At 36.1% G+C, this 13,716-nt stretch overlaps 1 protein-coding gene across 4 annotated transcripts in view; it reads right to left on the reverse strand.

The window, feature by feature from the left end:
* The window catches only part of CHCHD3 (coiled-coil-helix-coiled-coil-helix domain containing 3), a 297,221-nt gene that overhangs the window by 88,775 nt on the left and 194,730 nt on the right, over positions 1-13,716 (reverse strand). For 2 of the 4 annotated variants that reach the window (NM_001317177.2, XM_047420549.1), the window contains 2 exons: positions 13,330-13,344; positions 12,018-12,101 (listed from right to left, as the gene is read on the reverse strand). In NM_001317177.2, coding sequence (NP_001304106.1) covers positions 12,018-12,101; positions 13,330-13,344 — 99 coding nt within the window. The remainder of the gene's footprint in view (positions 1-12,017; positions 12,102-13,329; positions 13,345-13,716) is intronic. The other 2 variants (NR_133671.2, NM_017812.4) reach the window with 1 other exon arrangement.

Here is a 13,716-nt window from a genome sequence, read left to right on the forward strand (position 1 = left end):
GATGTACACAATGCATAGTACCCAGGGGCACTCTGTCACTCAAAACCAGGTTTTGGGATAATATATGAAGTTGGGCATTCTATTTAGGTTAAAGATTGTGGATAAAATTGATATCATCATCATCATCATCATTATTCACCTTCTCCCCAGTCATGTAAAAGTAATGGATAAGAACATCACTTAGACAAATAATTTAATTTATTTCAAAAGCTTGCTTGAGGAGTAGTAATTACACTGATGTTTAATTTTACATAAATAAGGTATGTTGTTGCATTAATAGCAGAAGTTAGCATGACTGGAGCAAAAGGACCCTCACCTAAATTTCAGAAAACCTGCAGAATAAGGTCTAACTTGAGACGAGCTGCCCACTAAGCAATTTGGAAGATGCATCTCTAGGCTACGTGGACATTTTTGACCCGCTGAAAATGCCTTCATCATTCATTCGACAAATATTTAACAAGCACCTGCTAAGTGCCAAGTACTGGTCTAGGTAATAGGGATACAGCAGGGAACAGACAAGGTCCCTGCTTTTATAGAGTTTATACAAACACTACAAGTCACAAGGGGACAGTGTGGTGATCATGCCATTCTCTCTGAACTCCAGTTCTAAACGTTTTACGAAGACAAATTAAATTGCAGAGCATGTGATTACTGACCATCATCAAACTTATTCTCCAGATACAAAGGCGCACTTTCTACGCTATGTAAGTAAACCTTACTGCTTCCTCACAAAAGAATAGCAAGTCCTATAGATTCTTTCTAGAGGGTCACAGAAACCTTGAGGCTCTGATGGAACAGAAGATGTTGATATCTCTTTCACTTGCTCCTTCAGCACCATATCTTGGCAACACTTGCGGGAAGATTTGTAGAGATCCACAGGAGTAATTTATCCAATTTAATTACCTTCCTACTTCATTTCATAAAAGGGAAGAATATTCTGGTTCAGACTTTCCATTGGTGGCATGCTACTGAAACCTGCGCCTGGTTCTTCAGGCAAGTATGTACAACTCTTGGGTTAATGGGCATGGTGCTGAATCTTGACATGGGAAGATCAAGGAGAAACCCCACTACCCATTGCTCCCAATTCTGAGGAGGTTGGAATAATGCAAGCTTGAATCAATGGACACCTAAACACAAAAATTAGATACCTTGGGCTACAGTTTTCTCAAAGACTCTTGGAAAGGGTGAGGATTAGGAAGAGAATTCAGAGAGAAAGAAAACCCTATCCCAGAGCACCGCACCTTTAGGACCCTGAGGCAGCCTCTTCTCATTGACCTATGCTTTTGGAACATGGTGCAAAGGGCGGCAATCCCAGGGTGCTTTCAGGTCCTCAGAAGCCCTCAGATTAGGAATTCCAACAGTGAAATTCTACGGCTACTCTACTTTTACATCCTAGGATGCAAGCTAAGAAGGACTAAAAAAAATGTAGGTACTAGCATTATTCAGGGCACAGAAATCTCAGGTGATATACTGGGATAAATTCATCTCAGAACAATTCCATGTTTTGGGTATAATGGTGAAACACATCATGCAGCATCCTCATCCTGGAGGCTCTAAGTGTACGTAACTTCTGAGAAGGCCTGTAGAAAAGAAATCTGTTCAGCTTTGTGAAACCTAACATTCCTCAAAATTATTTGGCCATGGAACCCACCCCATTCCTGGACGAACACATTAATTTTAAAAAAATTTATCCAAGGTTTATTATGTGCCAGGCACTATCACAGTGATTAAAGGGGAATGAGTTCCGGTCCTCAAAGGAACTTACCTATTTAATGTTTATTTTCAGAAAGAACTACTTGAGGCAACCAATGTATTGGGGTCTTCATCTGATAATTTAACCTGATGGATCTCTCTAACCTACTAACTTTCCCCCCAAAATCCCATGATCTTTAGCTCTTGAAGGGACAAAGGTAGTAAAAAGGTAGTGTTCTTCACAAAACACACAGCCTCCATGGGCCCATTGCGCCACTGTGTCAACTGAAAGCTCCGTGCCAGATACCAATGGGCTTTTGTGCCATTTGTATTCATCATTATATCTTTGAATAGAGCCTGGCTCACTGTAGGAGATTAATAAATGTGTTTTTGAATGAGTGGTGAATGCCAAGGACTCCCTCTAGTCCCCAAAATTCTGATAAGAATGACCAAAGTTAAAATCCTATCTTAGTCTACACGGACAAATTGGATTTAGGTTCCCTTCATTAAATGCCAACCTTACTGTGCAAACTTGCTTTATATGCCAAATTCAGATGTGGGCACTTCTATTTGATGATGTTATGAGCTAATATTATTTGCAAATGTTTTAATGACCAAATATATCTTTTTAACTGAAGCTAATGTGTTGAAACGTAATCCTTACAGACGCACAGCTGTCTCATGGTCTGAACATAAAACTGGGATTGAAGAGCACTTTCTAACAGAAGCACTGCAATTTCCTTTAAAAAATTTAATATTCATGTACTTTAATTTTTCAGTCAGTAAAATAGGAAAATACGCATTGGCTGGTCTGCCTAAATGAAGTACATTTGAAATTTATAAATAAGCAAGATGTCAAGAAGCAAAACAATCACTAACTTTGAAATTGGATGTGAAGAAAATTCAAAGGATTTAGCCAATTTCAATCTCATACGCAGGAAACATAATGATTTCCTGGCTGTAATATTCTTATCAATAGCAAGAAAGGAGCTCAAAGAAAGTAAAGTGAGTAAATAATTGTTTTTCAAATAAAACAGCCTGCTGAGCCTTCCTAAAATGTAAAGAATCTTTAAAAGTGGAATTAATTTTCCCTTGATTTCACAATGCTTTATTTCTTACCTTGTCTTTACATATTCAAGTGGCATATCATTTTTTAAAACCATCAGGGTAAACAGAATCTAATTATTTTATTGTGTAGCCTTTCAAAAGGTAAAGGAAATGTGAAGAGTTGAGAAAGTATGCAACCCATATTGTTGGCATCTCAGCACTTATGATCATTACAAGCACTCACAAAAAAGCAATACTGGGCTTTAAAGCTGCACTGTATATTTTCTCTTTCTCAGAGCCCTGGGGCTATCACTGCAAAGCACAGTAGTCCATTCTAAGCTCTGAATAAAGAAAAGGAAGAGATCATTAAATTATAATTTCCATGCACAATTGGTACAAGTATTTCCTACCAACAGGATTAATATGAAAGCAAGATCCCAGAATAAAGCTGCTCAGCAGAGAGGATGGCAGTTTAGTGTCTTGTAAATTTGATTTTACTGAAAGCCCTGACACATCATAATAGTGAAATCCTATTTACTGTAGCAAGCAGGATGGATAATGCTATTTAATACCGCTGTACTGTATGCCATCAACTCACAGCTTTGTACTCCATGTTCTCATCTTACCTTAAGGTTAATACTTCTTGACAGCCTACATGGTAAATAGAGCCCCAAATTAAGTGCTGATCCCATGATTTGCAAATCTTTCCTCTAAAGTTAGACATAGAAAAACTGACTCCAGTTAAAGGGATCATTTTACCTGGATGCACTTTTAACAGCTCACCCTAGAAAAAAAGTAAGTCTCATATCCCTAAAGCCAGATTTGAAAAGCAGCTCAAGGTTACCTAAACCACATTTCCCATTCGAAATTTCAGAGAGGTTAACAGAAAAGCCAACGCATTTTGAGGATTTGTTGAATAATGAATTAAGGATAAGACCCCCATATCCTACTATACTGTATTGATATTTTTCCCCAGAGCACAAACTAGGGAAAAAAAATATCTTGCTTGCTACTTTTGGAATATCTGCAATAATAAACTTCCTTTAGGAAAGCAGGTAGATTGTAAAATGGTTCCATCTTTGCACCTAAGTTATAAATGTGTCAATTATGTTAACAAAAGATATGCTGATACTGGGCCTTATTCATTTTTCTACAGAACAATTAACATCTAAGTGCATTTACTTAAACTATCATTACTTGTTGATGATAAAAAAAATTGAGAGTAACTCAATGTACACAATCCAAGCCACTTTAATAAAACCTCTGTTGCTTGTGACATTACAATTAAAAGTGGTGTAGGCTTCTATTAACTTCAACATCCAAACCTGTGGACTACAGAACCTCATCTCTGTTTGTGTAGCTCTCGGTAACTATAGAAACCACAGGGAATCTGCCCTGATCTCCACATGAATGAAGAAGCCAGTACAAAATTTCCCAGTGTCAAAGGAATAGTCTATCTCTCTAGGTTGACAAGTGCAAACTAGTATAACCCACGTAGGCACATCTACCAGGAAGTTACATTTTTAACTCTCATGTTAAATTTACTCTGTCACATTGCAGGGCCAAAATGAGTTAACCACATCACCTAAAATCATTGGCAACTGTTTAGAAAGCACGTCGCAGGGGGGAATATCAAACGGTTTCTTAATCCCATAAACCAAGTTTAAGTTATCTCCCCATCTCCAAAAAACGACTGTTTATATTTTAGTATCTCAGATGTCAGTAGACTAATTGTGAATCCATCCTGCATTAATCCCTTGAAAAGGTTGATCCAGCTTCACTCACTGAAATATTTTACAATGACAGACTTCACCTGGTAGTAAAAATACATAATTTCTTCCCATAAGAAGCACTCTGGGCTGACAATAACCTGTTCTGTTGTCATTTCTCATTATTATCATTGTTGGCATTATTTTTTCCCCAAGCTTCACACAGAGGAGCACAGAAGCAAAGGTACTAATTGAGAAAGAAGAAGTCACACACAATCAAAAGCCAATTAATCATACAGATGAGCCCAACACTTTATGATGCAATAAAAGACATGTCATCTGCCATAAGTGAGAGACTTTTAAAAATTGCTCATTTGATGTAAGCATGACCTTAGAATTTAATTAGCAACTCTCTCCACAGGTGACAAACTAGTAATATACTTTTCTTCTTAATGGCAATTTATTTTTCACCATTCTCTTTGTATTATTCTCTTTTGCCCAGCTTATCTAATTCTCTCTCCCTTTTAATTCTGTGAGATTTCCTGCAGTCTGTATGCAAATTGCTGCTGAAATCCAGAGGTGTCTGAAAACTGAAAGCAATCCATGCCACACTGGCATTTATGATTCACCAGATAAGGGATTCAGGTGTGTCTAAGACAAAGTTTCTGCCTTCGTGGAACTTCTACTGGATGACTGGGAAGGCAGTCATGAACAAGTTAACAAATAATGAGTAAACTAATTATAGATCTGGAAGAGTGCTTTCAAACAAATAAATAGGTTGATATGACAGTTAGAGACAGGGTTCAGAAGTCTAGTTTCTGATAGTCATTAGGAAAGCCTAAAACTTGTAAGGGAGTCAGAGACAGCTATTCAGAGGTGGGAAACAGCATCCCAGGGAACAACAAAGGCAAAGATCCTGACATGGGAAAGAATTTTGAAGGATGGTATACACTTAGCAGATCTTCAATATAGTAAGCACATGATGAATAATAGGTAATATGTTTATAGACAAGGAGGCATCTATTTGATTATATGCCATGGAAAACTAACCTAATAAAATTAGTCTTCCATTTTTTACATACAGCACATAGAATAATATTTTAAGTGGCCCATCTTACAAACATATCTTCATATTTAAGAATGCAAATAAATTGTAAATGCAGTGGGGGGAGGTGTAGGGAGGAGTTCTCAAAGAACAAATGCATGCCACATCACTGGGTTACTCAACATTGTATTATACCTAACTAAATTTTCTGATTTCCCTCAGCTCCTCAAGCCAAGAGGGCTTCATGCTGAGCCAAAACCCCATCATTCTTAGGAAAGCCAAGAGCAAAGTGGATGCCATAGAGCAAATCAATTCAAATTCATAATGGAGAAGTTATACATGCAAAACACATTATCAAAGAGCTCAAGTCTTCAACATGTCCTGGGGAGACAAGGCCCTTCATCCTGGAAGACCCATGGGAGACTGTGGCTTCTGCCCTCTATGACACGATAACCACGGTCCTACCCCTCGCTTCCCTCCCACAGGACCAACAGACTCCTGAAAAATACACATTTTCCTGAAGAACACACAACGATCCAAACTCTGATGAAATAACTATCAGAACACTTTGTCAAAAGTAAAAAAAAAAAAAAAAAAAAAAAAAAAAAAGGTTTGCTTTCTTTCCAGAAGATGGAAAGAGATGAAAAGATGGAAGGCAGTATTAATCAAAGTATGAGCAAGTGAATGAAGACCTCAAGAAGAAATTTTTAAGCTGCTTTAATGACTATAAATTTCTTATTTCAACGTGAAAGAAGCACAACTCGATATTAAAATAACTCTTAGGGGTATCATGCTGTAATCGCTAGGTAATAAGACCTTACTTATTCTTTTTTGGTCAAATTTTCCCAGGAAATGTCAAATTCTGGGAGAAAATTATGCATTTTTGAATGCTTAACACTTTTAGGTTATGAGGTAGCATTAATCAAATCATAACGTCAGGACCCAAAAAGTTGTATTAGAAGCTGGTAAGAGCTAACTTACCACACAAAGAACTAATGCTACAATCAGCAGGATTTACATACAGAATGAACATCTTCAAGTTGGTACTAGACAGCAGCTAAATGCTTAAGCATGGAACCTGGCTCAAATCCAGATCTATCATATTTTGGCTGTATGTTCTTAGGTGAATTACTTTAAGCCTTCACCTAAACAATAGGGCGCACAGCCACACAGGGTTGTTGGTAAGTATAAAATGAGACAATCCATGCAAAGTGCCAATCACAATGTAAATGCTCAGTAAATGTTATCATCAGCATGTTAATAAGGATGCTATAAACAATAACAAAATATTCAAAGTTAAACTTGACTTTCTCCCAGGATAGAATTAAATTATGAATTTAAATGGCTAGTGAAGAAGATACTAAACATTTGTGTGTATTTTAAAACTATACACTAATTGCATAAACATAACTTCATAGTATAAGCTTAGAAAATCTAGGATTCATTCACTGTGCTATTTGTAGAAAATACAGAAATATGCAAGTTATGGAACCTCAAAAACAAAAGAAAAAAATAGAAAATACAGAAATATGAAAATTAGCTCTGTGTCCTCAGGAGTGTACAAGATAAACACACATAACTAATCACAAGTATTATAAACAAAATGTGGCTATCATAAAGAGGTATAAAGCATTATGGACATATTTGTCAATTATACAACAAACAAAAATAAAGTTGGGAAAACAAAAAAAACAGAATTCCCTGTGAGACTTGGAGACTACTTCGTAGAAACACTTAAGAACCTTCTCTTTGAAAGCTGTTCTCAACTTCCTCTCATGAAATCACCAACCAGGAATTAATACTATCTATGTCTCTTATACCAATAATCAGGAATTAATACTCTCTAAGTATCTTTCAATTAGGCAAGACACCTAAATGTGATATCTCTAATGTTCACAGAGATGCCATTGATAACTTAGCAACATTTGAGTATGAAATAAGGACTTAAAAAATCTTTTCAAATGGCTTTGACCTTCTCTCTCAGTAAAGTGTCGCTGCTTTTGAAAACTCATTCTAAAAAGGGTGAAATCAGTGTCCAGTTAAATTACACTTATTACTCCTAACAAGTTAGTGAAAGAAGAAAATTATATCAGACTCCTGGGTGAAGTGGCCAATATAAATACCTGGGTAGAGGGAGTTCCATTCACACATGGGAATTATCTAATTAACAAGCAGTTTATTGAAATAGATCCAAGAGGCAAATCAAGCTGTATTACAGAACTAAATGTACTTCACATGTTCAGTGCACTTTGATTCATACTCTCAAAAGAAATCTGCATCAAGCCAATATAAATGAATAGTTCAAGTCATCAAAAAGTGATAACGTGTACAATTGCTGTGTTAATCTAGTTGATGCGCAGATGGTAAGGTTATCTCAGGAATCTCCCTCAGAATGATTCTGTAAAAGACTCGTTGATGCAACATCCCTCTCCATTAATGATACACCATCTGGTATCTACTTTATAGTTTCATCACTTCATTTAGTTAAAAGAGGAAAAGATATGTGCTTATGTCCACTTTTAAACCACAGGCAACCTGGATTTCCTAGTAAGTTAGATGATTCTGCAAATTATATTAATATTAGAATCATTTCTTACAATACGAATTAATGGATTCAGCATTTTTACACTGTCTAATACAAAAGTGTGTGCAGAATTCCTAATAGAAATAGTTAGACATTGTAATTCTCACTGCCATCACAATACAGAAGAAAATCTCTTTACAATCTTTTGCATTACGCCTAGAAAATACTTCATCATTAGAGACCTAAATGTCTCTCACATATTCCTGGAAGAAATCCAAAGTGACAAAATTCAACTTGAGTACTTTGAGAATGACAGTAACAAACAAAAACAGGACTGTACAGAAATGTGCAAAAGACACAAGGAAGTTGAATAATATTAATTCTATGATTATCGTTATCTTATACACAATGGAAAGTAAGCAAATATTCTTTCATGGCAACAGCTGATATTTGTTAAGCTCTTTCCAGCTTTCAAGGGGCTTTTACACACTCATCTGATCTACCCCCAATCACCATGAAGATGAGCAAGGAACAGAGTATATCCCCATTTTGCAGATAAAGAACCAGACACCACAAGGGATTAGGTGAATTGCCGAACAGCCACATGACAAAAGCATACCTTCTGACTCCTTGTCTAACATTCTTTCTTTTACTTAATGTGGAGTTATCGAGTATTAAGTAACAGCAGTGTATATATTCCACCTTAGCTTTCTAAGCTCACTGGTGCTTCTCAGATTTCAGTTTCAACTGTAGGATGACCACTTCCCAGGCTGATCTTCAAAAAGGAAAACAATATATTCTATATATATATATATATATATATATATATATATATATATTCACAATAATTTGATCTTATCATATCGTGTCTATCTAATCTTCTACCACTTGTTCTACTTGGTGCCAAAAAGCCTAACAGTTTATTTGTTGAGCAGTTGTTGAGCAGATAAGTTCAATCTGCCAGAAACAAATCTTCTCAGACGTTTGTACCAATCAAATTGGTGAGTCTATGAGAAATGGGAGAATATTTTTCAGTGCCTTTTCTTGAACCTGACAATAATTAAAGGCAAGTTTATAAGGTACCTAACATAGTAAAACCTGATGACAAAGAAAACTGTCATTGGGTGAGGAAAAGCAGGTGCCAAGTATATCACCTCAAAAACTTTCACTTTCACTCATTTAACATTTACTAACTCTGATATGGTTTGGCTCTGTGTCTGCACCCAAATCTCATCTTGAATTGTGATACCCACATGTTGAGGGAGGGACCTGGTGGGAGGTAACTGGATCATGGGTGTGGTTTCCCCAGGCTGTTCTTGTGATAAGTGAGAGAGTTCTCAGATCTGATGGTTTAAAAGTAGTTTCCCCTGCACGCTCTCTCTCTCCTGCCACCATGTGAAAAAGGTGCCTGCTTCCCTTTCACCTTCTGCCGTAATTGTAAGTTTCCTGAGGCCTCCCTAGCCATGGAGAACTGTGGGTCAATTAAACTTCTTCCCTTCATAAATTACCCAGTCTCAAGCAGCTCATTATAGCAGTGAGAAAACAGACTAATACAAACTCTAAGCCATGTACAATGCTCTAGGTATAGAAGTAAAACAATTAGTGGGTGAATGGTTACTCTGTGCTACATACTATTACAGGTGCTTTATGAGTATTAGCTCATTTAACAAGTGAGGTAAGTACTATTAAATCATCACTTAATATATGAAACAACTGAGAGGAAAAATAAGATGCTCCACATTACACAGCAGGGAAATGCCAGGTCAGAAATTTGAATCCAAGGCATCTGACATCAGAGCCTTGTGCTCTAAATCAGAGTTCTGCCCACTACAACGAGGGAGCCAAATCAGGCCCAGTACCTGTTTTTGGTTTTACATTTTTAAGTGGTTGGAAAAAAATTTAAGCAAAATTTTGTGATGTGTGAAAACTATATGAGCTTCATACTTCAGGGTCTTTCAATTAGAACAGAGCCACACTCATTCATTTACAGTTGGCTTTCTCTGATTCCACATTACAAAGGCAGAGGTGGGGAGCTGCACAGAAACCAAATGTGGTGTGCAAAGCCTAAAATATTTACTATCCAGCCCTTTACAGGAAAAATTACTGACATTCTCTAAACCATTTCACTTTATGCCTATTCAACATCTCTACTTCAATGTCTTAAGTGTCCTGAGCTTAACATATCCACAATCAAACTCCTGATTTCCTCCACCACCAACATCCCAATCCATATCTTAAGAATCTTCACCTGTGGAAAAACCTTCTAGTTATAAAAGCCATAAACCTAGAGTTTATTCTTTCTTCACTCATGTTCAAAGCCATCAGCAAATCTGGTCAGCTCTACCTTTAAAATACCGAACCACATTTCATTACTTCCCCTGTCGGCACTCAGACCCACACCAGTCATCCCTTTTCCGAATTACTGCCGTAATTTCTTACTAATTCTCTGTTGCTTCAACTCTTGCCCAACACAGCAGCCAGAGGGTTCATCTGCTCCCAAACCCCCCAGCCTTCCCAAACATGCCAAGTTCACGCCTGCTTCACGGTTTTGGCAATGGCTTGCTTCCCTATTACCATAGGCCTCTTCCCAAATGTCATCTCAACAGAGAGTTCTTCCCTCTGTACCCAACTCCATGCCTAAACCCCAGCCCTGGGACTCTCTTTTCCCATTTTATTCCTCCCGAAATTATCATAACCTGCCATACAATATGTATTCTGGTTTTAATTGAATTTAAGCTCCATGAAGACAGATGTTTACCTCATTTTCTTCACTAGTACATAGCTGCTGGCACAAGACCAGGGTGCTTAAGTAAATATCTGCTACATGAATGAGAAAATGCTCCCTACATTCAAGAGGTACTCAGTTCGGTAACATATGGAGACAGCAAACACATTTAACATATACATAACTGTACTGAGTGAGGGTTAATAGTGTATTTCTTATTTTTTCCTATTTTCTTATCAAATAACATTTTCAACAAATAAAATTTGGAGGGTTTCATTCAAAAGAGAGAGAGCTTACTCTGCAACCTCATGGTCTATGTATGAAATTAATCTAGATAACCAATCTACTTTATTGAAAAGGGCACTGATAAGGTGCTCAAACTCTCATTCTTAAACTCACTGCCTTCTTTTGTCCATCTCTGTCCAATTCTAGACCCATGCTGACTTGACGCCGTATCTCTTTTCCTTCTCCTAACTCATGTTTAACTTCTGCTATTCAGCTCCTATCTACCTCTCCTGAAGGAGACATTCATTTCTAAACTACAAATGCAGTGAAACTGAGTTTTCAGAAAGAAGATATATCCTGCCAGGTGCAGTGGCTCATGCCTGTAATCCTAGCACTTTGGGAGGCTGAGGGAGGCAGATGACTTGAGGCCAGGAGCTCAAGACCAGCATGGCCAACATGGTGAAACCCTGTCTCTAATAAAAATACAAAAATCAGCCAGGCATGGTGGTGCATGCCTGTAATTCCAGCTACTCAGGAGGCTAAGGCATGGGAATCACTTGAACCTGGTAGGTGGAGGTTGCAGTGAACCAAGATCATGCCACTAGACTCCAGTCTGGGCGACAGAGTGAGATTCCATTTCAAAAAGAAAAAAGCAAAAAAAGAAAAGATAAAAGAAGATAAATATATCCTTTAAAACACTACCATTTTTAAGAGTGTACTAAAGTTTAGTCAATGTCTGGGAGAGATAAGAGTAGCAGTGTACTGTCTGACCTGGAGGCTATGTAGATTCTAAACATATAAGAAAAGTATTTGCGGTAGGTCCCAAGTGGTAAAATGCATCAGTGAACAAATAACGCAACCATTCCAAAGTGACCAAAGAAAAAATGACATTGTTACAGAGGACGAACTAACTACCTGCTTTGCTTCTTCACTTCCTGGCCACTTTACAACCAGGAAAAGCAGTTGAAGTTCTAATTTATTAATTTTTAAATAAATATACAAGAAAACAGCAGATGTGGTAATAGAATCAATGATAAAAAATAGTCATACCCTCTCCTCCAGTCTAGCCAGCTGTTCTTTGTAGAATGCATCCTGCTTCTTTAGCACTCGGTCTTTCTCTTCCAGCTGCCTAGCCTAAAAAAAGAAATGAGGAATATACTATATCAAGAAAAAGCAGCAACAGCAAAGCAAAAGTCAAGAATAAATTGCATTAGAAATAAGAATACAAATCTGAAGATTTTTGCAATCTATTAGGTCTCTGCCATAGAAAAACATTAAGATGATGATTGCTGTATTTAAATGTAAAGAAGAAGTCCGCATTGTATTTTTTTTCCCGCTGTAACAGCTGTGTCCTATTTTGTCCAAATATATTAGGAAACGTCAGAATACAGCACATAACAGACTCTTATTTAACTTCCCTATCAAAGAGTAATTTCAAGGATTAATATTTTGTACAATGAAACTTTAATTTTATCCTGGGCATAAGATACATGGCTCTTTTTTGAACAAAAAAGTAATGCCTAAATAACATTTTGTACATAAATCTTGTGTTTAAGAACAGTTAATTACCTGCAAATAAATACATACATTGTTCTATTTCCCTTTATGTAAAGAATTAATTGTTATGGAAGAGTGGAAACAAAAACTACCATAATTGTTTATTTCAATAATTCAAAATAATCATAATAAATAACCATATTTAAAAGTAATTTTAAAAGCTTTAGTTATTGTACTTTCAATTTACAAGATTTTTTAAAACAAAATCAAAACAAGTATAATATTTTTGGTTCTTTAAACAATGATGAAGATGGCTACTTACCGATATTTTTCAAGATTTGTAAAAAAAAATGCATTTCTTAAACTAATGTTGGTATCTTGAATATTATGTTTAATTGGCCTTTATCTCTGAGGGATGAGACTTTCCTATATCACTCTGAGTTAGATTTTGTTTTCAACATATTTTTTGCTCAGTGAATGCTGAATATATGCCTGACTACAACTTATAAGAAAGTGTGTGTGTGTATATATATGTGTATATATGTATATATGTGTGTATATATACATATATATACACACACACTATATATAGATATATATATTTTTGTGTGTATCTTTTAATAAACAAAGTATATATATTACTTTTAATATGTAAAGTGTATACATTTCTTTAATTGTATGCATCCAGCCATCCATTAACAAGTATATATTTAGGCATTCCCATCCTTGTGCTATTTCACCAAAATTCTTTTGCTAAATGATCAAGTATTGTCTGTTTCAGATGTCAAGGTGCCTGTCTACTCAACTATCTGCTTAGTTTAGGTGAACTACTTGCACATTTATAGGTTATTGTTTTGCTACTTACTTTGTCTTCAATATCCTGCAGCATGTTAAAAATAAAATAAACAGTTATTTAACAACATAAGTACTGTTTTTTCCTAATTTCACACACACACAAAATCTGATGGATAATATTTAAAATGCAAGCCAAAGAAGGTAATGGAGAAAAAATAAAAAGGAAATGCTTAACTTGAGACACATTTTAATGTCACTATGCTGTTACAGTTTGAATAGAAGATTTCAATGAAAAGTACATGCTGCTTGGAAGCATATGAATAAATAAAAACAAATACAATGTTAAGATTAGATTAAAGTACATTCATATACAAGTATATAATCTATGGCTCCCTGGTACAACATAGTAAAAATTTTATTAGACTGTTAAGAATATGAAACAAAAAGTAAATGAATT

This window comes from Homo sapiens, chromosome 7 (genome assembly GCF_000001405.40).
Source record: "Homo sapiens chromosome 7, GRCh38.p14 Primary Assembly".
Taxonomy (NCBI): Eukaryota; Metazoa; Chordata; class Mammalia; order Primates; family Hominidae; genus Homo; species Homo sapiens.